This window comes from Homo sapiens, chromosome 19 (genome assembly GCF_000001405.40).
Source record: "Homo sapiens chromosome 19, GRCh38.p14 Primary Assembly".
Taxonomy (NCBI): Eukaryota; Metazoa; Chordata; class Mammalia; order Primates; family Hominidae; genus Homo; species Homo sapiens.
In genome coordinates this window covers 48659507-48684734 of record NC_000019.10, presented here as the reverse complement: position 1 = coordinate 48684734, position 25228 = coordinate 48659507, and the positions used below count along the sequence as shown (strand labels likewise).

The window sequence follows — 25228 nt, the reverse complement described above, 5'->3', positions numbered from 1 at the left end:
TGTGCACTGGATACTGTCTGAGGTGCTGGGGTATGCAATCCCCTTCTTTAGGGGACTTAAGTGGCCCCTGTCCTGCTCAGCTTCCTTTTGTCCCCTTCTGGTGAGGGACAGGGCGGGCTTTTAGGTGTCTGTCCAACTTCTGCTTTGGAATTTGCAAATGCAGTAAGAAACTCAGTAAATATTTATTGATGAATTAGTGCAGCTTGTTGGCAGCTTGCCAGCTTCTGCTTGGGCTTTTGTAATGTGAAAGCTGTTGGCTGGGCACAGTGGCTCACGCCTGTCATCCCAGAAGTTTGGGAGGCCGAGGTGGAAGGATCACTTGCGGTCAGACCAGCCTGGCCAAAATGGCAAAACCCCATCTCTACTAAAAATACAAAAATCAGCTGGATGTGGCAGCGGGTGCCTAAAATCCCACTTGGGAGGCTGAGGTGGGAGGACTGCTTGAACCCAGGAGGCGGAGGTTGCAGTGAGCTGAGATGGCGCCACTGCACTCCAGCCTGGGCGAAAGAGCCATCGCACTCAGCCCTCCTCCTGAGTTTTTTTTTTTTTTTCTTTGAGACGGAGTCTCACTCTGTCACCAGGCTGGAGTGCAGTGGCGCGATCTCAGCTCACAGCAACCTCTGCCTCCTGGGTTCAAGCGATTCTCCTGCCTCAGCCTCCTGAGTAGCTGGGATTACAGGCACCTGCCACCACGCCCAGCTAATTTTTGTATTTTTAGTAGAGACGGGGTTTCACCGTGTTGGCCAGGATGGTCTCGATCTCTCGACCTGGTGATCCACCCGCCTGGGCCTCCCAAAGTGCTGGGATTACAGGCATGAGCCACCGTGCCTGGCCCCTCCTGTGTTCTTTAACACCTCCCAAGCCCAAACCCTGTTACTGGCAGCAAATCCGTGTGGGTCTGCAGCAACCTCAATTCTTGTCTCCTAAGAAGAAAGAATTCGACTGAGGGGAATAGGCAGAAGGAAAGACCAAGGCAGCCTGGGCAATAGGCTCTCATTTAGAGCAGGAGAGAAAGTTTATTGAAAAGCTTTAGAGCAGGGACAAAAGGAATGAAAGTACACTTGGAAGAGGGCTAAGCGGGCGACATGAAAGACAAGTGTGCAGTTTGACCTTTTGAGTTGGGGTTTTATATGTTGGCACACTTCTGGGGTCTTGCGTCCCTTCTCCCCAGTTCCTCCCTTGGGGTGGGCTGTTCACTTAGGCGGTGGCCTACCAGCGCCTGGGTGGGGAGCATGCGCAGTGTGTTTACTGAAGTTATACGCGTGCTCACTTGAAGCGTTCTTCCCTTACCCACTGAATGTCCCCAGGAGGTCATGTACCAATTAAACTCTGCTATTTTGCCTCTTAGTGCACATGCTTGTGCCCACTCGCCGAACTCCCAAGATCTTATTGGGAAGCTGCTGATCACCAGCTTCGGGTGTTTTCTTTTCTTTTTCTTTTTTTGAGATGGAGTTTCTCTCTTGTTGCCCAGGCTGGAGTGCAATGGCGCGATCTCAGCTCGCTGCAACCTCCACCTCCCAGGTTCAAGCGATTCTCCTGCCTCAGCCTCCCAAATAGCTGGGATTACAGGCGCGCATCACCACACCGGCTAATTTTTTTTTTTTTTGAGACGGAGTCTCACTCTGTCGCCCAGGCTGGAGTGCACTGGCGCGATCTCTGCTCACTGCAAGCTCTGCCTCCCGGGTTCACGCCATTCTCCTGCCTCAGCCTCCCGAGTAGCTGGGACTACAGGAGCCCGCCCGCCACCACGCCCGGCTAATTTTTTTGTATTTTTTCTTTTTTTTAGTAGAGACGGGGTTTCACCTTGTTAGCCAGGATGGTCTTGATCTCCTGAATTCGTGATCCGCCAGGCTCGGCTTCCCAAAGTGCTCGATTACAGGCATGAGCCACCGTGCCCGGCCTAATTTTTGTATTTTTATTAGAGACAGGGTTTCGCCACGTTGGCCAGGCTGGTCTTGAACTCCTGACCTCAGGTGATCCGCCCACCTCGGGCCCCCAAGTGCTGGGATTATAGGCGTGAGCCACCACACCTGGCCAGCTTCGGGTGTTTTCTGTCTACTGGGAGACTACCATTCCTTGGCACCAGCTGCAAGCAATTTATTTATTTATTTATTTAATTTTATTGAGACAGGGTCTTATTCTGTTGCCCAGGCTGGAGTACAGTGGTGTGATCATGGCTCACTGCAGCCTCAACCTCCCAAGCTCAGGTGATCCTCCCACCTCAGCCTCCTGATTATCTGGGACCATGGGTGTGTGCCACCAGGCACAGCTAATTTTTGTAGAGATGAGGTTTCAATATGTTTCCCAGGCTGGTCTCGAACTCCTGGGCTCAAGGGATCCCCCTCCAACTCAGCTCTCAAAGTGTTGGGATTACAGAAATGAGCCACTGCACCCAACCTTGAAAAGGTTTCAAATGGGAAAGAGATGTGATTGGAATGTTTTCTAAACCACTGCACCTACATTTGGTGGAAATGTTTAATGCATGTAAATGATCATTGTATATGTCAAGTTTTTTTAATGTCCAAAAGGAGCATTACACCAATAAAACACAGGAAAACTCGCACTGCAATTACTTAATCCAACTTGCACCCGTACTGAGCTTTCTCAGAGTGGCATTAGGTTCTCGGGGGTTAGGCAGTGCCAGGTGTGAGGTATCTTTTTCCAGTAACTGTCACACACGCTGCTGCTGAGATGGCCATGATTTGGTCTTAGTGGCCCCTGGGGGTCAGGTTGCTGCTTCCAGGATCTGAGGAGTGTCTTTTCTGCCCTCACTGTGACGCCTTCTTCCCTGCGCCCAGGGTGCTACCTGCACCTAAACCCCTCCCCTGTCCATCGCAGGGGAATCCCTCCTCATAGGTGTGTCCCTGCAAATCCTGTCTTCCCTGGAATTCTATTTTTTTTTTTTTTTTTGCGATGGAGTCTCGCTCTGTGGCCCAGGCTGGAGTGCAGTGGTATGATCTCGGTTTACTGCAACCTCTGCTTCCCAATTCAAGCTATCCTCCTGCTTCAGCCTCCGGAGTAGCTGGGATTAGGGGCACGCACCACCGTGCCTGGCTTTTTGTATTTTTAGTAGAGACTGGGTTTCGCCATGTTGGCCAGGCTGGTCTCGAACTCCTGACCTCAAGTGATCCACCAGCCTTGGCTTCCCAAAGGGCTGGGATTACAGGCGTGCCACCGCACCCGGCCCTTCCCTCACATTCTTTTGTGATAAGGCCCACTAACTCCAAAGCCAAAATTCCTAGTTGCCCAGAAAATCGAGTTCCCCTATCCTTCAGGGCAGGGATGGCTTCGTCCTGGGACGTGAGTGCAAAATATCTGGGCTCTGTGCTACCAGTGCTGCCAGGAAGGAGAGGGCAAAACTGCGTTTCCATTGGAAAGCAATGCCAGTGTTCCTGACGTGCTGCATACATGTGAGCAGCCGACACCTCCCACACGGTCACAAGGCACTGGCTCTAAGCGAATTTGCTCAGCTCCCACCAGCTGCTACTGGTGTTTAGTTCTGTGGTTTGTGCATTTTGTGGTTGACATACTAAGGCACAGAGGTTGAGTCAGTTGTCCAAACTCACTCAGCTATGAAGTAGATAAGCCTGGATCCAAACTGCATGAGGGACCGTGAGTCCATGCCCCGCACGCCCCACTCACTGCCCCTCGGGTCACAGGATGAGGACCAGGCACATGCAGGGCTGGCTAGAGGCCGTTCTGTCCAGCCTGTCCAAGGTCAGCCGCAAGGCCCACCCACTCTGGCAGGAAGGCCGCTTACGGCCTAAAGACCACGTTGAAAGGGGAGTTGGGCAGGGTGAAGTTGGCCAGGTAGACAGTGTCCCCGCCCGCGAGGTACGCGGCCCAGACCCCGAAGGTGCCCACGGTGATGATGGTGTGGTTGCACTGTGTGAGCAGTGCGAAGTCCTTGGCAGGTGAGCCCTGGAGGCCATTGCCAGCGAACACCACGTCCCCAAGGGAGCTGTTGATGCTCTCCCGGCACCAGGCCATGTCATCGCTGGTGACCACAAAGACCGGGAGGCGGCAGCAGGCCCGGAACCAGTCCAGGGCCCGCTGCAGGTAGCCGGTCGGCCAGCACCCCCTTCCATACGCGCGGCATGACACGGACATAGTCCCCCCGGCGCACGTGGACCCCCACGAAGGTCGCCTGCCCTGCCCACTTGGCCTGCAGGCCCCGCAGGAACTTCTGGGCCTCCTCGCGCACGTGGTCGTGCAGGGTGAACTCCTGGAGGATCTCCTGGCGGAGGTGGTGGTAGAAGGTCCAGGAGCAGGGGTAGCCCGTGAGGCGGACACAGCGCCCCGGGATGTGGCGGTACTCCTCCTCCATCCAGTCGTTCAGGTGGTAGTTCTGCCAGGGGATCCTGCTGGCCGTGGCGCTGTGCAGCACCGGCAGGGTGATTCTGAAGATGGGGGCCAGGGTGCTGTGCATCTGGGCCGGGATGAAGGCGGGCCGCCCGTTCATCTTGGCCAGGGCGTACAGCGTGGCGTACTCGCCCATCTGGTTCCCCAGGCGGCCCTTGGAGTTGATAGTGAACAGGTCCTCCCGGGGCAGGTGTCTGGGGGCCAGGACCACACGGGCTGAGTATGCCCAGGGCGCAGGCACCAGAGCCAGGTGCTGGTGGCAGTGAAAGATGGTGGACACCACAAAAATGGCAAAGACGAAGTAGAAGGTGGAGAAGGAAGGGCGGGTGGCCCAGAATCCCTTGACGGCTGTGGGGAGGAGAGAGGACATGGTCAGGAGGCAGGGCTGGGGGGACAGGAGTCTCTTCACCCACCCCCTGCCAAAGTCATTCATTCACTCACTCAATCCATCCAAGCCTCTGTCCTGAGCACCACAGTGCATGGGAGAGGCCTCAGAGCACAGACCCTGGGGTCTTTCCACCTGAGGCTGAGTTCCTGCTGGAAGTCCCAGCCTCACCAGCACCTTGTGACTTCAGTCAAGTTACTGCACCTCGCTGAGCACAGCGGCTTGTGCCTGTAATCCTGGCACTTTGGGAGGCTGAGATGGGAGGATCACTTGAGCCCAAGTTCAAGACCAGCTTGAGCAAAAAAAGTGAGACCCTATCTTTACAAAAAAAAAAAATTTTTTTTAAAATTAGTCAAGCATGGTGGCATGCACCTGTGGTCCCAGCTACTTGGGAGGCTGAGGTGGGAGGATTGCTTGAGCCCAGGAGGTTGAGGCTGCAGTCAACTGTGATTGTGCCCCCGCACCCCAGCCTGGGCAACAGAGCAAGACCCTGTCTCAAAAACAACAAGAAGTTACTGAGTTTCTCTGAGTCTGTTTCCTCACCTGTTAAATGGGGATGAGTAGATGGAACTATTTGAAAGTGCCAATATTTAACCCGATTTTACCTACACTCATGGCCATTTCTTTTTTTTTTTTTTTTTGGCGATGGAGTCTTGCTTTGTCACCCAGGCTGAAGTGCAGTGGCACGATCTTGGCTCACTGCAACCTCCGCCTCCCGGGTTCAAGCGATTCTCCTGCCTCAGCCTCCTGAGTAGTTGGGATTACATGCATGCACTGCCAACCCTGGCTAATTTTTGTATTCTTAGTAGAGACGGGGTTTCACCATGGTGGCCAGGCTGGTCTCGAACTCTTGACCTCGTGATCCACCCGCCTCAGCCTCCCAAAGTGGTGGGATTACAGGCATGAGCCACCGTGCCTGGCCTACTCACGGCCATTTCTATGATTCTACCTCACAGAACTACCTCATGGGGTTGCTTGAAGATTAAATGTGATGATTTTGTAAAGCAGTGCCTCGCACACAGGAAATGCCCTGTATGTGTTGGAAAATCAATACCTGCAGTGGCTGGGCACGGTGGTTCACACCTGTAATCCCAGCACTTCGGGAGGCCAAGGTGGGCGGATCACCTAAGGTCAGGAGCTTGAGACCAGCCTGGCCAACATGGCAAAACCCCATCTCCACTAAAAATACAAAAATTAGCCGGGCATGGTGGCGGGTGCCTGTAATCCCAGCTACTCAGGAAGCTGAGGCAGGAGAATCGCTTGAACCCAGGAGGTGGAGTTTGCAGTGAGCCGAGATTGTGCCACTGCACTCCAGCCTGGGTGACAGAACGAGACTGTCTCAAAAAAAATAAAAATAACATAAATAAAATCAATACTTGCAGAGTATTTATTACAATGCCAGGCACGGTGCTCAGGGCCAGGAAGCCAGCAGAGGAAAAAACAGGTAAGAATCTTTGGTGCCCGTGCAGAGTTTGGGAAAGAGCACAGGTGGGCCCAAGTTCATGGACAGGCTCTGCCTTCTGCAGGCTGGTGACCTGGAGGTGTTATTTAACTCCTCCTCTCCTCCTCCAAGAAATGGGGCTGCCACACCCCTGCACTGATAAGTGCTAAGCGTTTCCTGATACTATTAGTGGGTGTGGTGGGTTCAAGCCACCACAGACTCCTGGACTCCCTTTCCCTTGGATCTGGGCGGGCCCATGACTGCCTTGACCACTTTAATATAGTGCAAGTGAAATTGTGTCCATTTCTGGCCCAGGACTTAAAGAACTAACAGCTTTCATGTCTTGCCTTGAGAATGTTCCCTCTGCACTATCGTGTCAAGCTGGAGAGTTCAGCTTTTGTTTTTTGAGACAGGTTCTCACTCTGTCACCTAGGATGGAGTGCCAGTGGTCTGATCACAGCTGGGCTCAAGGGATCCTTCCACCTCAGCCTCCCCAGTAGCTGGCACCACAGGCATGTGCCACCATGCCCCGCTAATTCTTACATTTTTTGTAGAGATGGGGTCTCACTGTGTTTCCCAGGCTGGTCTTGAACTCCTGGGCTCAAGCAATCCTCCTGCCTTGGCCTCCCAAAGTACTGAGATTATAGGCATGGGCCAGTTTTAGCTTTTGTATGTAGGGTTATGATTATTCATTTTTTTCTTTTCTTTTCTTTTCTTTTTTTTTTTTATGATGGAGTTTTTGCTCTGTTGCCCTTGCTGGAGTGCAGTGGTGTGATCTCGGCTCACTGCAACCTCTGCCTCCTGGGTTCAAGCGATTCTCCTGCATCAGCCTCCCAAGTAGGTGGGACTACAGGCACCCGCCACCACGCCCAGCTAATTTTTGTATTTTTAGTAGAGACAAAGTTTCACCATGTTGGCCAGGCTGGTCTGGAACACTTGACCTCAGGTGATCCACTCACCTCAGCCTCCCAAAGTGCTGAGATTACAGGCGTGAGCCACCACGTCCAGCCAGCTCTTTTTTGGCAACCACTTTGAGATATAATTAATATACCCTACCATTCACCCACGTAAGGTGTGCGATTTAATGGCTTTTAGTATATTTACAGAGCTGTGCAACCAGCACAATCAATTTTTGAATATTTGCATAGCCCCCCTCCCAAAAAAACCCACACCCTTTAACCATCTCCCCACAATCTTCCCTGTTCCTTGTCCCCCCACCAAGTAATCTCCTTTCTGTCTTTATGGATTTGCCTATTCTCGATTTTTCATGTGACTGCAATCACACACTCCATGGCCTTCCGAGTCTGGCTTCCTCACTCGGCACCGTGTTTCAAGGTCCATCCACACTATAGCACGTGTCACAGCCTCACGCCTTTCTTTTCTTTTTCTTTTTTTGAGACGGTGTCTCACTCTGTCGCTCAGGCTGGAGTGCAATGGCGCAATCTCGGCTCACTGCAACTTCTACCTCCTGGGTTTCAGTGATTCTCCTGCGTCAGCCTCCCGAGTAGCTGGGACTACAGGTAGGACTACAGGTACAGCCACCACGCCCAGATAATTGCCTCACTCCTTTCAAGACTGAAAGTCCCATTGTCCAGGTAGACCACAATGTATTCACTCATCAGGTGATAGGCACTGGAGTTGTTTCCAGTTTTCGGCTGTTGCAAATAGTGCTGCCACGAACCTGTGTGCTGGGTCACAGGGTGAACTCTACGTTGAATCGTTTTGGGAGCTGCCAGGTGGCTGCCCCAGTTTCCGTTTCCACCAGCAGTACGGGAAGGCCCCATTTCCCAGCCTCGCTCGCCGTCGTGTTTGGTTGTGGTGGGTGTGCAGGGCCATCTCACCGTGGGGCCCACACCTATTCACCTCCAGGTCCAGCCCTGACCACTGGGCCTGACTGGGCTCCAAGGACCTCGGTCCCGGTCCTCGCCGTGGGATGGATGGTCCCTTCTCCGGGGGCTGCTCTTTCCGAGTCTCCTCCAGCTCTCCCCAGGGCTCCCAGAAGGTCCTCTGCTCCCAGCCTCTACCATGTCCTGATCGGCTTTCTCTTCTCCCCTTGTCCACTCCTCTGACCAATGTCCTATGGTTTCCCTGTGGCCACTCCAATGGCTACAGCTCAGCAGTCATCCCTTCACCCCCTCCCTCCCACCCCATTCCTGCTGAAGCCCTGGTTGGCATGGGCTCACCCCTAAAACTTCTGGCTTCTGCCTCACCCCTCCCGGCTCCCCATCTCTCCCTCCGCCTGTCCTCTTAAACATCGGGGGCCTACAGGCCTCTTCAACTGTCATCCTCCTCTATTCCAGGGCTCCTCATTTGGTTCATCTGGCCCTTCTGAGAAGCCTGAACAATCTGGGGCCCTCCAGGCCTCTTCAGCTGTCATCCTCCTCTATTCCAGGGCTCCTCATTTGGTTCATCTGACCCTTCTGAGAAGCCTGAACACTCTGGGGCCCTCCTTGAAAGTCTCGTGTGGGTCCCCAGCAAGGCCAGCTGGCCTAAGGCCTAAGAAAAATGCTCCTGGTGCTGCTTTAGTTTGCAAAAAGTGAATTAAATCTGCCCAAGCCTTTTTTCACTGAGCTGGTGAAAACTGTGTCCCAAACATGATCTTGCCATCCACTCAACTCAGGGTCCTGCCCCACGGAGAAGGAGCTGAGCTCTGAGCCCAGCTGGAGCCCCCAGGCAGGTCCCAAGGCTAGAGCTGGGGTCAGTGGGGGTGCAGGGCAGGGACAGGAGCCTGGGTCACTGGCCAAGGGAAACCAGCTCAGGACAAGGGTGCCCCCCGCGGGGTCCGCCTTCATTTTGTGTGACTCGTGCAGTTGCGCTGAGACAGGCCCCACGCTTGCTTTAATGATCTGGTGTTGCCGTCTTAAAATCCTTCATAAATTCTAAACAAGGGGTCCTGTGTCTGCATTTTCCCCCAGGCCCTGCAGATCAAGCAGTGGGTACCGCGGCTGCTCTGGCTTCTCCTGGAATCTCAGGTGCTCCCTCTTGTGGCTGTTCTCAGCCTAGACAACCAGAAAGCCGCAGAAAAGCACCAGCCAAGGCCGAGGCTGCGAGGGTGCTGGCGGGCAGGCCCATCACGGGGCTGGCTGTCCTGGTCCGCGATTCCTTGTCAGCCATTTTCCTCAGGGGGAGCGGCAAACGCCAACCTGGACTGAACTCATCTGGGGACAACCCTGGCTTGGAGGAGGGTCATGTGGCTATTTGCAGACTTTACTTCTCTTACTGTGAACACCCATGTGCTCTGCTGCCTAAAACATAACATGTTTGACAATGTGATGCGGCCCAGACCTACCATGGATGCCATGTCACGTACGTACTATGCATCCGACAACAGGGCCAGGAAGCAGAAGGTTCCGGAACACGACTTTCCCAGAGAGCTCAGATAAGAACCCGTGGGCATGTCAGCTCATTCAGTCCTCATGACCCCCTCCGCCCACCATGAGGAAGGTCCATTCTTTCTTCCTCATTTAACAGATGAGGAAATGAAGGCACAGAGAGGTTAAGAAGCTTGTTCTCGGTCACACAGCTAGGACAGAGGTGGATTTGAACCCAGGCAGTATGGCTGGGGTTACCATCCTGGCCTTTTTGAACATGTCCGGGAGGGCAGGCCCTACCCAGCCACACAATGCCCAGTAACTCCTGCGGGTGACCTGCCCTGCCTCGTGGAGACTCCGTTATATCTGGGCCACCAAGGCAGGGGTTAGAGGTCTGTGTGAGCCCAGCACTGAGGTTCTCTCTGGGTTGAACCCACCTCAGAGATGTGCCTTGGGCAGGCCTGGCCTTCTGTAGAAGCTGTGAGGGTGAAGGTCTCCAGCCCTTAAAGAACTCTCCCCAACAAAAAAAACAGTCTCCTTCCCAGCTTGGGGCACTATGTGCTCGGCTGTGGCAGCTCCGTCTGTTCTTCCCCGCCTGCCCCCGGGCACCCGCAGGGGCGCCCATCAACTCAGGCAGCTCAAGCTGCAAGGAACAAAAGCTTCCCTCCAGGAGCCGGAGCTTGAGACTTCGCCCAGGTGGGGAGGAAGACGCAGCGAGACCTAAGCCTTCTTCCTCAGTTTTGTGTGGCAGCAAAGCTGGGTTCTGTGCTGGCGGTGGGCTCAGCACAAATGCCCCTCCGCATCACCCCACTTACATCTGCAATCCCCGGGCCCCCGTGGCCGCCCCCCCCACTTGCTTTGCTCCAAGGCACTTGGCACCTTCCAACAACCTAGAGCACAGAAGGACCTGCGCTGCTGGGGTCTCCCCCTCCCTCTCTGGACACTGAGCCTGATGGGGCAGGGGTCTGTGTTCCCAGCGCGAACCCCCGGCAAAGTCCCATACAGGGGGAGCTCAGGCAGGGTCAGCGGAGGGACCTGCGCCTGAATCCCGAAGTTCCACTCTGACTCACACAGCCTGGGCCCCCAGCTCTGACATGCCCCCTCTGATGGGGGGCGTCTCAGCCCCATTCCATCCTCCTGCAGCTGATGCACCTCCCAGCTTTCGGAGTGACTCCCTTCTTTCAAATCCGATGTCCCTGTCCTGCTCCTGCCAAATCTGGCCCCCTCCAACGTGGTACCTAAGGGTCCAGAGTCGAGGGTCGCCTTTGCTGTGCCCTCGCACCCCCTGGGGGCGGGCCTGGGGCAGTGGGTCCCAAGCCTGTCAGGATTGGGCCCACGCTACACCACGATAAACGCTGGGGCCACCCAGGGCAGCAGGTGCCGCGCCCCAACTCCATGAGGCCCTTGCTTTTCTCAGCGGGAAGTGACAGAAAACATTATTTTTCTAGTCAACCCATTCGGAGATGGAATAGAACAGACAGCAACATTCGCATGAAAATGTCACGATGAAAGCACTGAGGACTCGCAGGACACCAGCGGCACTGGGGAGGTGCTTTTGAGCTTGGTCCCCCGCACCCCGGGGGTCCCCGCCTTCTCCCTCTGCCGCATGAGAAACACTGGGGCCCAGGTGTTCTCAGCTCATTTGTCGCCTTCCCCACCATCTTAGAAAGCGACTGAGGTCTTTTGAATTCCAGGGGCTGGTCTGAACCTTCCAAGAGCACAGATTTTACTGACCTTAAGGCTCGGTGAACCCACAGCTGACAAAAGGTTCCAGAGAGGAGGAGGAGGGGCTGGCTTGGGGTCACGCAGCCAGAGGCAGGGGCTGAGCAAAGTTTCCAACAGCGATTGTCTCCCAAAGGTCAGCCCCTGCCCGATCGCGATGGCGGCCACCACAAGGCGGGGCTGAGCCAGTGGGCAGGGGTGGAGTGGGATGGAGCGGGACCCCCGACTGACAGCCTCCCGTCCTACCTGCGGTGAGCCTCCTAGGCCAGGCTGCTCGGGGCTGTCCTGCTGCTGGACCGCCGGGGGCAACGGCACTCACGTCCCACACCGTTGCGGGTGGCCTGGCTGGCAGGGGTCCCTGTGGGGATAGCGTGGCTGCGGTTGGTGAGGGATTGGGGTGGGAGGGGGGTGGCGGTGTTAGATTCTGCGGGCTCTGCTCTGAGCCCCCGCCCAGCCCAGAAACCCCACTAGCCTGGGGCCTGAGAACAGCCACGCCACTCCCTCCTGAGAGCCCACCGCGCCACAGCTTGGAGGAAGAGCCTGCGGGGAACTGGCTGCAGGACGCTCTCTTCTTGAGTGCAGGTTTGGCCAATGTCGGGGCCTCAGGGCTCGGGTTGGGGGGTGCATGCCAAGAGCCAGGGAAAGGAAGCCTGGGTCCCAGATGGACCCCAGGCCGCCCAGGCAGGCCTCCTATGAGTCTGCTGGGAGCATGGCTGGACTCTTTCTTAAAGAGGGGTATGGGCTCTCTGTGGGCCACGACTGGTTTCTGGATCCCCCAGGAACACTAGGGAACTCACAGCCTGGTTCCTCAAGGTGCTAAGGGCCAGAGGGTGCCACCCCCTGAACTATCCAGCAACTATCCAGAGAGAAAGGGGACATGGGGGACTGGCCCTTAACAGGATGCTGCTGAGGGCCAGGCAGGCGGCTGCCACCTGAGTGGGTGCAAAATGGCGCCAGGCTCCTTGGGAGGGCGGAGGGCGAGGCCTGTCATCTGGGCCAGGGGAGGCAGCGTCTGCATGTGGCCAACAGCAGTGGGGACATGGGCAGTGAGGCCAGGCTGGGGCAGGTGTGGCCCACCTCAACCGCCAGGGTGCCCCAGAGATGCCCAGCCCAGGGACATTCCTGGGCGCAGATTCAGAGCCAAGGGCCTGGAAAGGCTCCGAGGCCCCCAGTCCACAGTGAGCTCCTCACCAGAGGCTGCTGGCCCTGGAAGGGGAAAGTGGGGGCATTTCAGAGTCCAGTCCTTCCCAGCTCCTGCCATTCCTAGGGTCTGGGCTTCTGCCCCCACGGGCGCCCTGGCATCTGGCACCCCACCCTGTCCCAGCTCCTGCCTTCCTGCCTCTCTCCTCCTCATTACCCACCGCCCCCAACATCTGTTCCCCCATCTGCTCTGGGGAACTCTGGATGGGTGGAGAATGTGGGGACTCTGGTCTCCAGGCCCTGAGGCCCAGAATAGAGGGCAGGGTTGAGGTGAGCAGAAAGTCCCAGAACGCTAACTTCCGGTCCCCACACCCTGAGTTCTGAAGGGAACCCAGGTGTCTGCTTCCCCTGACCCCATGGGGATCCCACTGTCCCGCTCCCAAGCCCCAGAGCCACCCAGGTTCCAGCTCCCAGCATCCCTTTCCTCAGCTCAGCTCTCTGGGCTTTGCACTCGGGTGGGAAAGGGTTAAGGGTGGGGCGCTGGGGGTGGGTGGGCGGGTGGCAGGGAGGCTGGGTTGTTTGGTGATAATCCCCTTCCGTGCCCAGGGTGTGGAGAACAAGGTTAGGGCCCCATGTGGGAAAGGCAATGGCTCTGATCCCTGCAGGCCTGGGCCTCGGTCTCTCACTTCTGATCCCCCGCCAGACACCCCTAGCCTGTCCCCTTCCCTCCCCTCCCCAGGGCCTGCCAGGCTGGGTGTCTCTGAGCCCACCTGCCCACCTATCCCAGCCCCCAGGCAGTCCGAGCCTCAGTCTCCCAGCTCCCTGTGGCCTCTGGGTGCCTGGCCTCTGTCTCAGCCTCTCAGCCTCCTGTCTGTTCCTCTGTCTTTGCAGCAACTTCTCTGTGCCGAGCGCCTCCCCTAGGCTGACTGTCCTCTCTCTGCCTCTGTCCTGTCCTCTATTTCTTTGTGACTGAGTCTTCATCTGTCCCTAAGCCCCCTCTCCTGCCCAGCCCTGCTTGTCTCTGTGTCCCTCTCTAGGTTTCCACGTCTGCTGGCCTTGGCCAGCCCCTCTGCTCCAGCCGCTCACCGCTCCCCAGGGCCCCCTGCCCCTCGACACTGACGGATAACTCTGGGGTGTTAAGCTACGGATTAGTTCAGGCAAAATTCTCGATTTTGTCTGCGTTCTTTCCCCTTTGGGTTATGTAAACAGTAATTCTCCCCAGATGGAACTATTTTCCTCGCTTCCATGCAGCCGGGGAGGGGGCCTGGACGGGTTGGGGGTGGAATGCCCCAGTTCCACAGGACACCTCCAGGAGGGGTAGAGGCTGCGGCTGAGATCCCCAGCCCAGCCACCTCTCTTCCCTCCAGGTGCTGGCTCTGCTGTGACCATGCCCGTGACCTTTGCCCTCCTGCTCCTCCTGGGCCAGGCCACTGCGGACCCATGCTACGATCCACAGGGCCGCCCCCAATTCTGCCTCCCGCCAGTGACACAGCTGGCTGCCGTGGCGGCCTCCTGCCCTCAGGCCTGTGCCCTGTCCCCAGGAAACCACCTTGGCGCCAGGGAAACCTGCAATGGCAGCCTGACTTTGGCCCTGGGTGGCCCCTTCCTCCTGACATCTGTCAGCTTGCGCTTCTGTACCCCAGGACCCCCAGCCCTCATCCTGTCTGCTGCCTGGGCCTCAGGGGGTCCCTGGAGGCTGCTGTGGCACAGGCCCGCCTGGCCTGGGGCCTTAGGGGGCCCTGAAAGGGTGACCTTCCACTCCACACCAGGTCCTAAGGCCACTGTGGCGGCCAGCCACCTCCGTGTGGAGTTTGGGGGCCAGGCCGGGCTAGCGGCAGCTGGGCTGAGAGGCCGCTGCCAGTGTCATGGCCACGCTGCCCGCTGTGCCGCCCGTGCCCGGCCCCCCCGCTGCCACTGCCGCCACCATACCACTGGCCCGGGGTGCGAGAGCTGCCGCCCGTCCCATCGAGACTGGCCCTGGCGGCCTGCCACGCCCCGGCACCCCCACCCTTGCCTACGTGAGTCCTGCGCCCCTCACTCTCCCTGCCTTTGCCTGCCTGCCACTGGGTCCTTTGTCCCTACGGGAGCAGGATGTTCCCTTCCCTCGCTGGAACTGGGTGCTCCTTGCCTCTCACCCCAGTCTCAGACTCGGTCCCCTCATACCTCCTCCCTGCAGCCAGTCCTGTATCTCAGCCACACATGGGCCTGTCTGCTCATGAGGGGCTCAGCCTCTCCCCAACACTCATCAGCCTGTGATGATGGTGATGATGATGATGATGGTGTGATGGTGGTAATGGTGATGATGGTGGTGATGGTGGTGGTGATAATGGTGATGACTGTGGTGGTGATGGTGGTGGTGATGATGGTGGTGATGGTGATGGTGGTGGTGATGATGGTGATGATGGTGGTGATGGTGATGGTGGTGGTGATGGTGATGGTAGTGGTGATGATGGTGATGGTGGTGGTGGTGATGGTGGTGGTGATGGTGATGGTAGTGGTGATGATGGTGATGGTGGTGGTGATGGTAGTGGTGGTGATGGTGATGGTGGTGGTGGTGATGGTGATGATGGTGGTGATGGTGATGGTGGTGGTGTGATGGTGATGGTAGTGGTGACGATGGTGATGGTGGTGGTGATGGTGATGGTGGTGGTGGTGGTGATGGTGGTGATGGTGATGATGGTGGTGGTGATGGTGGTGATGATGGTGATGGTGGTGGTGTTGGTGGTGGTGATGGTGATGACTGGTGGTGGTGATGGTGGTGATGATGGTGGTGGTGGTGATGGTGGTCGTGGTGGTGATGGTGGTGATGGTGGTGGTGATGGTGGTGGTGGTGATGGTGGTGGTGATGGTGGTGGTGGTGATGATGGTCGTGGTGGTGGTGATGGTGATGGTGGTGATGGTGGTGATGATGGTGGTCATGGTGGTGATGGTGGTGGTGGTGGTGATGGTGGTGATGGTGGTGGTGATGGTGGTGGTGGTGATGGTGGTGGTGATGGTGGTGGTGGTGATGGTGGTGGTGATGGTGGTGGTGGTGATGGTGGTGGTGGTGATGGTGGTGGTGATGGTGGTGGTGGTGATGGTGGTGGTGATGGTGGTGGTGGTGATGATGGTCGTGGTGGTGGTGATGGTGGTGGTGGTGATGATGGTCGTGGTGGTGGTGGTGGTGATGGTGATGGTGGTGATGATGGTGGTCATGGTGGTGATGGTGGTGGTGGTGATGGTGGTGATGATGGTGATATGATGATGGTGGTGGTGGTGATGATGGTGATAGTGGTGATGGTGGTGGTGATGATGGTGATAGTGGTGGTGGTGGTGATGGTGATGGTGGTGGTGATGATAGTGATAGTGGTGATGATGGTGGTGATAGTGGTGATGATGGTGATGGTGATAGTGGTGATGATGGTGGTGATAGTGGTGATGATGATGGTGGTGGTGATGATGATGTAATAACAGTTTCCGAGCACCCATCCCAGGGCCTGGCTGGATGCAGGTACTTGGGTAATATTTATTGAACAGTTGTAGGGGAACAGGACAGCTGGATGGTACCTGACTCCTCAAACCAACCACAGGGGGAAAGTATTCGGTCATTAAACACATATTTATCAGTCACCTACGTGTGCCAGGCAGGGATGTCATCAGGCCCATTTTACAGATGAGGAGACTCAGGCCTAGAGTTCAGAAGTCCCCTGCACAAGGACACACAGTGGCTGCGTGTGGCAGGGCCAGGATCTGAGCTCAGGAAGCCAAGTTCTGGGGTCTCAGCCTGTCCCTGCCAGGCTCCTGCTGGGTACTGTCACACCACGTGGCAGACAAGAGGCAACAGACAGGAGCACGGCCTTGGTGGCCTGGCAGCCAGACTATTTGGGCTTGAATCCCAGCTCCTCTGCTTACCTGCTGTGAGACCTTGGGCAAGTGACCTAATCTTTTGGTGCCCCAGTTTCCTCCACCATAGATTGGGGATAGTAACAGCACATCCTTTACAGGCTGTAGTGAAAATTAAATGCATTAATACACATAAAGCCTTTAAATAAAGCCCAATGTGGTACCTGGCACAAAGGAACGGCTTCCTGAGCACCTGCCAAAGTCGCCACTCCCCAGCTGAGGAAGGTGAGGCTCAAAGAGAGGTCACTTGCCCTAAGTCTCATTGCCAGCAAGGGATTTAACCCAGGGAGCCCTGAGTTCCTAGATGCTGCAACAATCCGCTGCTCCATCCAGCTGGACAGGGGCCCCCCAGGAATGTCCCATGCGATGCCCTCTTTCCCACAGGTGCTTCCAGACCAGGCCTTCCCTACCTCCCTCCAACAGCCCCTCCTCAGAGACAGCCGGTGTCAGCTCCTTCCGGCCCTGACCCCCTCCCTCCTCCAGCCTGAGACACTTGGTACAGGGTCTGAGGTCCTGGGAGGTAACTCTACCAACAGACACAGACATATACACACGTGTGCAAGTGTACCCTGGCCTTCCCTCTCCACCTCCCATGCGCTTTGCCTCCCGGCCCTCTATTTCTTTTTTTTTTCTTTTGAGATGGAGTCTTGCTCTGTCACCCAGGCTGGAGTGCAGTGGCGCCATCTCGGCTCACTGTAGCCTCTGCCTCTGGGGTTCAAGCCATTCTCTTATCTCAGCCTCCCGAGTAGCTGGGATTACAGGTGTGTGCCACCACGCCCGGCTAATTTTGTATTTCTAGTAGAGATGAGGTTTCGCCATGTTGGCCAGGTTGGTCTCAAACTCCTGACCTCAGGTGATCTGCCAGCCTTGGCCTCCCAAAATGTTGGGATTACAGGCGTGAGCCACCGCGCCCGGCCTCTGCCCCTCTATTTCTTCATACATGAAGATCACATGGGCTAACTTACAGACCATCCCCATTCTTTGGCCAAATCTTTTACCTAAGCAGGGGAGTGAGGGGTGAGACTCACCAGGCCTGAGGATGAGGCAGCCTTCATCCTGGGCCTGGACAGGGCCTGGGCGCTGGGGAGGCTGTCCTGAGGGTCACCACATCCCCCCAGACTGAGCAGGGCAGTGCCCTCCAAACCCGGGTAAGAGACTGACAATGCTGCAGTGGAGAAAGGTCAGGGTGGCCAGGTGAGACTAATGCCTGTGGCAGAGCTATGGGCTTCACAGACATCCTGGTCTGCATCTCCTCTCCCTCATCTGAGTTCTCCACAGGGGAAGTGAGGCAAAACGATTACCCTTGGGTCAGAAAGAATCCAAAACCTGACTCAACTCACTGATCATCTGAATAGCTTTGCCACTTTGAATGCCCACAAAAACCCTGGGAGAGAGGGATCTGGATTCTCTCTGGACAGGGAGAAAACAGAGGCTGGGAGAGGGGGAGTTGTTTTTCCAAGAACATGCAGCCGTCTGAGCTCCCTGATTATCCCACAACTCTTCCGGGCTCTCAGGGACCTGCCAGTCCAGGGCTCTCAAACCTCTTAGTGTCAAAACACCCTGCAGTCCAAGTCTCTTCAAAGAGTGTCCATGAGCCTGGGAGACATAATGAGTCCCCGTCTTTAAAAAAAAAATTTTAAAGTAGCCTGGTGTGGTGGTGCATGCCTGTGGACCCAGCTACCGAGGAGGCTGAGGTGGGAAGATCCCTTGAGCCCAGGAGTTGGAGGCTGTGGTGAGTTATGATCGTGCCACTGCACTCCAGCCTGGGCGAGAGTGAGACCCTGTCTCAAAAAAAAAAAAAAAAAAAAAAAAAAGAGTGGTCTGTGAACCCCCTGTATCAGCATCTCACTCTGCAGTGCTTGCTGGAAATACAGATCCTTGGGCCCATCAGAAAGCCTAGGGAGGAGCCTTGCAATCTGGCTTTTGTTGTTGTTTTGGATTTTTGCTTCTTTTTTAAAGACAAGGTCTCACTCTGTTGCCCAGGCTGGAGTGCAGTGGTGCAATCATAACTCACTGCAGCCTCCAACTCCCAGGCTCAAGTGATCCTCCCACCTCAGCCTCTAGAGTAGCTGGGACTTACAGGTGTGGGCCACTATGCCCTGTTAATGTATTTTTAATAAAAACAACAACAAAACATTTCCCTGGTAATTCTGATGAGCAGTAAGGTTTGAGAGCCACCTTAAAACACCTGACAAACGCTCCCAGGATAATGCACATGCTAAATAATCCTCACGGGAGCTGTGTATTACTGGAGTGAGCTAAGAGCTCAGACTGTCAAGCTAGAAGACCTGTGTTTAAGTCCTGCCTCCAACTACCCGCTAGCTGTACCTCTCTGTGCCTCAGCTTTCTCCCTCTGTAAAATGGGGATGATAATAGTGCCAGCCTCACAGAGCCCTTGTGGAGATGAAATACATCAAACACAGTGCAGGGTGTCCTGCACGTACGAATGCTAGACAGCCAAGTACTTGCTCTCCGCCAGGCCTGGGCTATGCACTTTTTATCCACTTTATCTCATTTAAGCCTCAAGTAAACATTATAAATGCCATTTCACAGCCAATCAAACTACAGAAGGGATAAATTACCTGTCCAGGGAATACGGTCAGAGAGACCGACAAGGCTAAAAGGGTCTGATTCCACAGGCCATAGCCCACTCTTTTTGTTTTTTTTTTTTCTGAGATGGAGTCTTGCTCTGTCACCCTGGCTGGAGTGCAGTGGCGTGATCTCGGCTCACTGCAACCTCCACCTCCTGGGTTCAAGCAATTCTCCTGCCTCAGCCTCCTGAGTACCTGGGATTACAGGCGCGTGCCACCACGCCCAGCTAATTTTTGTATTTTTAGTAGAGACGGTTTCACCACGCTGGCCAGGCTGGTTTTGAACTCCTAACCTCAGGTGATCTGCCCACCTTGGCCTCCCAAAGTGCTAGGATTACAGGCACGAGCCATCGTGCCTGGATGCAGCCTACTCTTTAGAGGCCCAGTTTCACAGATGTTCAGGAGGTTCATGAGTCCCCCCGGACTTACCAGCTCCAGTCCAATGTACCTTTTTTTTTTTTTTTTGAGATGGAGTCTTGCTCCTTTGCCCAGGCTGGAGTGCAGTGGTGCAATCTTGGCTCACTGCAACCTCCACCTCCCGGGTTCAGGAGATTCTCCTGCCTCAGCCTCCCGAGTAGCTGGGACTACAGGCACAAGCCATCACAGCCAACTAATTTTTTTATTTTTAGTAGAGATGGGTTTTCGCCATGTTGGCCATGTGGGTCTCGAACTCCTGACCTCAGGTGATCCACCTACCTTGGCCTCCCAAAGTGCTGGGATTACAGGCATGAGCCCGGCCTACCCATTTAAAAGATGTGAGACCATCCTGGCTAACACGGTGAAACCCCGTCTCTACTAAAAATACAAAAAAAAAAAAAAAATTAGCTGTGTGTGGTGGCACGTGCCTGTAGTTCCAGCTACTTGGGAGGCTGAGGCAGGAGAATCGCTTGAACCTGGGAAGTGGAGGTTGCAGTGAGCTGAGGTCGCGCCACTGCACTCCAGCCTGGGTGACAGAGTGAGTCTCCGTCTCAAAAAAAAAAGATAATAATAGAGATGTCCTGGGACCCAGGCATTCTCTTCTACCTTGGACACTCACGGCTTCCTTTCATGAGGGCAGGGCCATGGGAAGAAAGCTGAGGACTGGGGAGCAGCACACTCGGCCCTGATGCGCCCCCACCCCATTTTGCTCCTAGCCTGCTCCTGCAACCAGCACGCCCGACGCTGCCGGTTCAACTCTGAGCTGTTCAGACTGTCGGGCGGCCGGAGTGGGGGTGTTTGTGAGCGGTGCCGCCACCACACAGCTGGGCGGCACTGCCACTACTGCCAACCTGGGTTCTGGAGGGACCCTAGCCAGCCTATCTTCAGCCGCAGGGCCTGCAGAGGTGAGTGTGGCCTGCAGACAGGCCTGGGGGGAGCAGAGGTAGGGCTGGACTCCTGGGGCTGAGGGAGGAGGGGCTGGGGGCCTGGATTCCTGGATCTGAGGGAGGAGGGGCTGGGGGCCTGGACTCTGGGCCTGAGGGAGGAGGGGCTGGGGGCCTGGACTCCTGGGTCTGAGGGAAGAGGGGCTGGGGGCCTGGACTCCCCAGGCTGAGGGAGGAGGCACTGTGGAATTGGGAGGGGCATCTGGGGCCCTGATACCCCATGCCCCCAGCTCCTCTGCTCATGTAGCCTGCCAGTGCCACCCTATTGGGGCAACAGGAGGAACCTGCAACCAGACCAGTGGGCAGTGCACCTGCAAGTTAGGGGTCACAGGCCTGACCTGCAACCGCTGTGGCCCTGGCTACCAGCAGAGCCGCTCCCCCAGGATGCCCTGCCAGCGTAAGTCTTGAGGGGCCAGGCCACAAGCCTGAGTAGAGCGGGAAGGAGACATCCCAGGTCTCCAGTGCACAGCTGCAGTGAGGGCTGGGGCCTTGGGAATTGGGAGCCCAAGGCTGGAGGCTGGACTCTGGGCCCTCGGATAAGCAGGGACTGAAATTCTGGACTCTTGAGGAAAAGGAGGCTTGGGGCCTGAAGGCAAGGGATGCTTGCACTCTTGAGTCCTAAAGGAATAAACACTTAAGAGTTTGGGTGCCTGGATTCCCGGGGCAGGGGCGAGGGGATCCTGGGGGAAATGACTAAGAGGTTAATTTCTCCTTTGGTCTCACAGGAATTCCAGAGGCAACAACCACCCTTGCCACTACTCCTGGTGCTTATAGCTCTGGTAAGACAGTCTGGCACGGAGGTCCCTGAGTGGCAAGTGGGAATGAGGATGGGCTGACTGGGTCCCCAGATGGGGATACATGGGTCACCCATTGAGCCCAGTCCCAAAGGTTTGGGTACCCCAGCTGGCCATCAAGATGGAACGGAGGGATGGGCAGGGGCAGAAGGCTGTGGTCTAGGCCCCAGGAGCCCACTGCAGACAGCCTGACCCTCCCCAGACCCTCAGTGTCAAAACTACTGCAATATGTCGGACACCAGGGTACACATGAGCCTTCGGAGGTACTGCCAGCAGGACCATGGTGAGTGCTGGGGAGACAGACAGCTGAAGGCTACACAGCTGGTTCTGATGACTGCTTCTAAGCCACCCCCTTTCTGGCCTTCCACTTTCTCATCTTAAATGGGAAGGAGTGTTGGATTCCAAACCCCTTCCTGATCTAGAAATTGATGGGGCAGAAGACAAATGGGGAGGGGAGTGGGGAGGGGGCATTCACTACCTTCCTGTGTCTCCTCTTTCCCCATGTTCTTCGGCTTACAGAGTTTCATCATCTCCTTCAGCCTGACATCTCTGAGGGATGGAAGAGATAGGGGAACTGGTTGAGTGGAATGAACTCTTGCCCTGTCCTCCCTATCTCAGAGACCCTTTCTGCTTCCCTTCATGGTCCCAGATATTTGAGCCTTAGCCCCACTTCCCATAAAGACTTGTCCCACGGTTCCCTAATCCCCAGTCCACACCTGCTCCATGACCTTGGGGTCTATGACCTCAGGCTATTCAGCTCTCTTAAGACACTCAGGAGTTCGGCCCAGCCAACAAATCTAGACCAACGCCAGCTATTTCTCTCAATGTATAGGACCGCAGACTTCTCCCTCAGGAACCTCATCTGGTCACTAGTGTTCTAGGCCTTCACAGGTGGAAAGATTTTCCCCACCTTCCACAGGGATCTCCTGCCCCGCAGACCCAGCTGGCTAGTCAGAGTCCCACCCAGCCTCTCAGAAAGTGCATTTTTCTGGCCGGGCGCGGTGGCTCATGCTAATAATCCCAGCACTTTGTGGGGGCCGAGGTGGGCGGATCACTTGAGGTCAGGAGTTCGAGACCAGCCTGGCCAACATGGTGAAACTCCATCTCTACTAAAAATACAAAAATTAGCCAGGCGTGGTGGCAGGATCCTGTAAACCCAGCTGAGGCACAAGAATCACTTCAACCTGGGAGGCAGAGGCTGCAGTGAGTTGAGATCACACCACTGCACTCCAGACTGGGCAATAGAGTAAGATTCCGTCTCAAAAAAAAAATTTATGTTTTTCTGAATCACTATCAGTATGACCTCAGCCCTCACATTCCAGGGACCAGTCTCTTCCTTCTTCTGGTCCTCGAAATTTATCCCAGAGCCCCTCCCCCGGCAATGTGACCCCTCCTTCCCAAGAATTCCACCATTGATACCTTCTGACTCCACTGCATTAGAGACCCTGGACCTGCCTCTTCTGCCCTGTCCCCAGCCCCACCTACTATAGTTTAACTCCTTATCTCAAAGATGTTTCCTCCAGCAGGCTCTACCCCTCACGATTTAGGGTCAAACTCTCCAAGGTTCAAGGTTTCTCTCCCCACTGCGATACCAGAAGCCCACCCACCGGTCTCGGGCTCCTGCCCACTGTGACTGACCCCACGGGACCCAGAGGTACCCTGGAAGCTCCCCACGACCTGGGCTGACATCTCCCCTCCCCACAGTTCTCCGCGCGCAGGTGCTAGCGTCCGAGGCGGCGGGCCCGGCATGGCAGCGGCTGGCCGTGCGCGTGCTGGCCGTTTACAAGCAGCGGGCGCAGCCCGTGCGACGCGGCGACCAGGACGCCTGGGTGCCCCGCGCCGACCTGACCTGCGGCTGCCTGCGCCTGCAGCCAGGCACCGACTACCTGCTGCTGGGCAGCGCCGTGGGCGACCCCGACCCCACGCGCCTCATCCTCGACCGCCACGGCCTCGCGCTGCCATGGAGGCCGCGCTGGGCCCGGCCCCTGAAGCGGCTGCAGCAGGAGGAGCGCGCCGGAGGCTGCCGCGGCGTGCGGGCACCCACACCCAGTCCCAGGCCGGAGCACTAGACGTGAGATGGGGCTGCCTCGAGCACCAACAAAGTAATTTGGGAGCGACTAGGAGCTGAGCCTTCTACCTCGACGGTGCACTGCAGAGAGCCAATCAGACGTCGCAGAGCCCCGACGACACTATGCTTGCGCCCACGCCGAGCAGGCGTGCGGAACTTTTAGCAAAAGGCGGCAAGCGGGACTTCTGGTCCCAACATTTCCTCCTTTGGCCTGTGGCTTATTCCCCGCCAGTGATCTGTTTCCCCCAATAAAGTCTCAAATCTTTGGGAATTTTTGTCTACAGACCCCTGATCGATGCTGGCACACTCTCTAGAGGGAAGCGAACAAGGCCTTGAATCAATACGCGGAGCTGAAGTTAGGACCACAGCACAACGGGACCCTGACAAAGTGGCCAATCCAATAAGAACGCTCTTATGACGTCATTGGGTGCTAGTCAGATTGGTGTTGCCTGACGATAGGCCGAAGGCCAATGGGCGGGGCTTGGTTGGAAAAGGCGGGAAATCTCACAAAGGGAGGGACAGCAGTTCCAGATTTCTAGAAAATTCCAGACGTAGGAACTGTTGGTTTCTGATGGGCCTCAGGATAGGCTCTGAGAAAGGAATTGAGATACTTTGAGTGACTCATTTTTGAAAGAATAGCCAATCGGAAGCCACAGAGTGGTATGACATAACTTGGTGCTAAGCAGAATTGTATTCCCACTCAACAATTGGCCTGCACGCCAGAGGGGAGGGGCGCAAAAGGCAGGAAGCGGTAAGTACCACGGAATGGAAGGTTGCCACAGCCTGGGACCTTCCTTGCCACCCTGACCCCTGCCCCTGCACCCACAGCAAACAACATAATCTCAAATTTGGGTGATCTTTTCAGGAGAGTCACTGAGGGGGTACTCAGGGAGTCTTAGAGGAAGGGATGTGATTTAAGGTCCATTTGTTTGTTTCTAACTCTTTTTTAAAAAAATTATTTTATTTATAGTTATATTTACTTACTTATTTTTTTGAGATGGAGTTTTGCTCTTGTTGCCCAGGCTGGAGTGCAATGGCATGATCTCGGCTCACTGCAACCTCCACCTCCCCGGTTCAAGCAGTTCTCCTGCCTCAGCCTCCCAAATAGCTGGGACTACAGGTGCGTGCCACCACGCCTGGCTAATTTTGTATTTTTAGTAGAGATGGGGTTTCACCACATTGCTCAGGCTGGTCTCGAACTCCTGACCTCAGGTGATCCGCCCACCTAGGCCTCCCAAAGTGCTGGGATTACAGGCATAAGCCACTGTGCCCAGCCAAAATTTTTTATTTTATTTTATTTTAATTATTTAGTTTTTTGAGACTGGGTCTCACTCTGTTGCCCAGGCTGGAGTGCAGTGGCTCTATGGTAGCTCACTGCAGCCTTGACCTACTGGGCTCAAGCAATCCTCCCACCTCAGCCTCTCAAGTAGCCGGGACCACAGGCGCAGGCCACCATGCCTGGCTAATTTTGTTGTTGGTAGAGACGAGGTCTCGCTATGTTGCCCAGGCTGGTCTCGAACTCCTGGGCTCAAGTGATCCTTCCACCTTGGCCTGCCAAAGTGGTGGGTTTATAGGCGTGAGCCACCGCGCTGTCCTGAGGTCCATTTGGACCTGGAACAAAGTGGCCAATACAATAAGCACACTCCTATGATGTAACTGGGTGCTAGTCAGATTTGTGTTGCCTAATAATTTCCTTCTCTGAGAGAAAGCTGGGCCTCTCAGCCAATGGGGAGTCAGGATATGCCATGATGTCACAGGATACCAGGTAGGGAGAAAGGTGCCTTCCAGCAAACGTTCTGGGTTTGCTCTTGGTTAGATGGAAAAAGGCAAGAAATTGCCTCCAGGGAGACTATTTGACCCCCATGCCACCAATAAAATGTTACATAATCTGGGAGAACCTGCCCTTAGCCTCCCGATGAACCCAGGGTGGGGTCATCTCTGAAGTAGGAGTCTTTTAAGGGATTTTCTTTTCTTTTCTTTTTTAGTAGAGATGGGGTCTCACTATGATGCCCAGGCTGGTCTCGACCCCCTGAGCTCAAGCAATCCTCCTGCCTCAGCCTCCCAAAGCGTTGGGATTACAGGCATGAGCAACTGCGACCAGTCTTAAGGGATTTTCTTTTCTTTTCTTTTCTTTCTTTTCTTTCTTTCTTTTTTTTTTTTTTTTCTGAGAT

General features: G+C 55.6%; 1 protein-coding gene, 1 long non-coding RNA gene and 1 pseudogene across 7 annotated transcripts in view, besides 6 other annotated features; 2 read left to right on the top strand and 1 right to left on the bottom strand.

Annotated features, from left to right (window-relative positions):
* Positions 1751–2025: a silencer, noted in NCBI's record as "fragment chr19:49185967-49186241 (GRCh37/hg19 assembly coordinates)". NCBI's record gives its function as "represses an EF-1alpha promoter that drives an FKBP-Casp9 reporter gene in an ReSE screen in K562 erythroleukemia cells {active_cell/tissue: K562}" and the evidence as "EXISTENCE:reporter gene assay evidence [ECO:0000049][PMID:32094911]".
* Positions 2490–25228, bottom strand: part of SEC1P (secretory blood group 1, pseudogene) — a 44207-nt pseudogene continuing 21468 nt past the window's right edge. The window contains exons 2-5 of the transcript NR_004401.2: positions 21468–21538; positions 17272–17408; positions 11468–11579; positions 2490–4710 (exon numbers count right to left, since the gene is read on the bottom strand). The product of NR_004401.2 is annotated as a secretory blood group 1, pseudogene (transcript). The remainder of the gene's footprint in view (positions 4711–11467; positions 11580–17271; positions 17409–21467; positions 21539–25228) is intronic.
* Positions 7157–11589, top strand: LOC105372431 (uncharacterized). 4 transcript variants are annotated; one of them, XR_936016.3, is made up of 3 exons: positions 7157–7708; positions 9104–9494; positions 10948–11589. It is a non-coding gene; the product is annotated as an uncharacterized LOC105372431 (long non-coding RNA). The 4 variants fall into 4 exon arrangements; XR_936015.3 differs by having other exon boundaries at positions 9104–10195; XR_936013.3 differs by having other exon boundaries at positions 9104–11048; positions 11194–11589.
* Positions 8865–9512: an enhancer, noted in NCBI's record as "H3K4me1 hESC enhancer chr19:49178480-49179127 (GRCh37/hg19 assembly coordinates)". NCBI's record gives its function as "activates a minimal SCP1, AML or CMV promoter by ChIP-STARR-seq in primed H9 embryonic stem cells {active_cell/tissue: H9 hESC(primed)}" and the evidence as "EXISTENCE:reporter gene assay evidence [ECO:0000049][PMID:30033119]".
* Positions 9090–9239: a silencer, noted in NCBI's record as "silent region_10898". NCBI's record gives its function as "represses an Ori minimal core promoter by ATAC-STARR-seq in GM12878 lymphoblastoid cells {active_cell/tissue: GM12878}" and the evidence as "EXISTENCE:reporter gene assay evidence [ECO:0000049][PMID:35858748]".
* Positions 9513–10161: an enhancer, noted in NCBI's record as "OCT4-NANOG-H3K4me1 hESC enhancer chr19:49177831-49178479 (GRCh37/hg19 assembly coordinates)". NCBI's record gives its function as "activates a minimal SCP1, AML or CMV promoter by ChIP-STARR-seq in primed H9 embryonic stem cells {active_cell/tissue: H9 hESC(primed)}" and the evidence as "EXISTENCE:reporter gene assay evidence [ECO:0000049][PMID:30033119]".
* On the top strand, positions 11718–23328 carry NTN5 (netrin 5). Of its 2 annotated transcripts, NM_145807.4 has the most exons (7): positions 11718–11803; positions 13729–14379; positions 19968–20156; positions 20443–20592; positions 20921–20974; positions 21192–21272; positions 22694–23328. In NM_145807.4, the coding sequence occupies exons 2-7, from the start codon at positions 13749–13751 to the stop codon at positions 23056–23058; spliced, it is 1470 nt and encodes a 489-aa protein (NP_665806.1). In that variant the 5' UTR covers positions 11718–11803; positions 13729–13748; the 3' UTR covers positions 23059–23328. The 2 variants fall into 2 exon arrangements, with proteins under 2 accessions (NP_665806.1, XP_011524745.1); XM_011526443.4 differs by lacking the exon at positions 11718–11803 and having other exon boundaries at positions 12938–14379; positions 21509–22751.
* Positions 20070–20569: an enhancer, noted in NCBI's record as "H3K4me1 hESC enhancer chr19:49167423-49167922 (GRCh37/hg19 assembly coordinates)". NCBI's record gives its function as "activates a minimal SCP1, AML or CMV promoter by ChIP-STARR-seq in naive H9 embryonic stem cells {active_cell/tissue: H9 hESC(naive)}" and the evidence as "EXISTENCE:reporter gene assay evidence [ECO:0000049][PMID:30033119]".
* Positions 20570–21071: an enhancer, noted in NCBI's record as "H3K4me1 hESC enhancer chr19:49166921-49167422 (GRCh37/hg19 assembly coordinates)". NCBI's record gives its function as "activates a minimal SCP1, AML or CMV promoter by ChIP-STARR-seq in naive H9 embryonic stem cells {active_cell/tissue: H9 hESC(naive)}" and the evidence as "EXISTENCE:reporter gene assay evidence [ECO:0000049][PMID:30033119]".

Excerpts from the sequence above, each read along its gene's own strand:
- NTN5 (NM_145807.4), top strand. The coding sequence starts at position 13,749 with ATGCCCGTGACCTTTGCCCTCCTGCTCCTCCTGGGCCAGGCCACTGCG. Across the intron at positions 20,157-20,442 it reads CAGCCGCAGGGCCTGCAGAG|CCTGCCAGTGCCACCCTATT; the intron begins GTGAGTGTGGCC and ends CTGCTCATGTAG. Across the intron at positions 20,593-20,920 it reads CCCCAGGATGCCCTGCCAGC|GAATTCCAGAGGCAACAACC; the intron begins GTAAGTCTTGAG and ends TTGGTCTCACAG.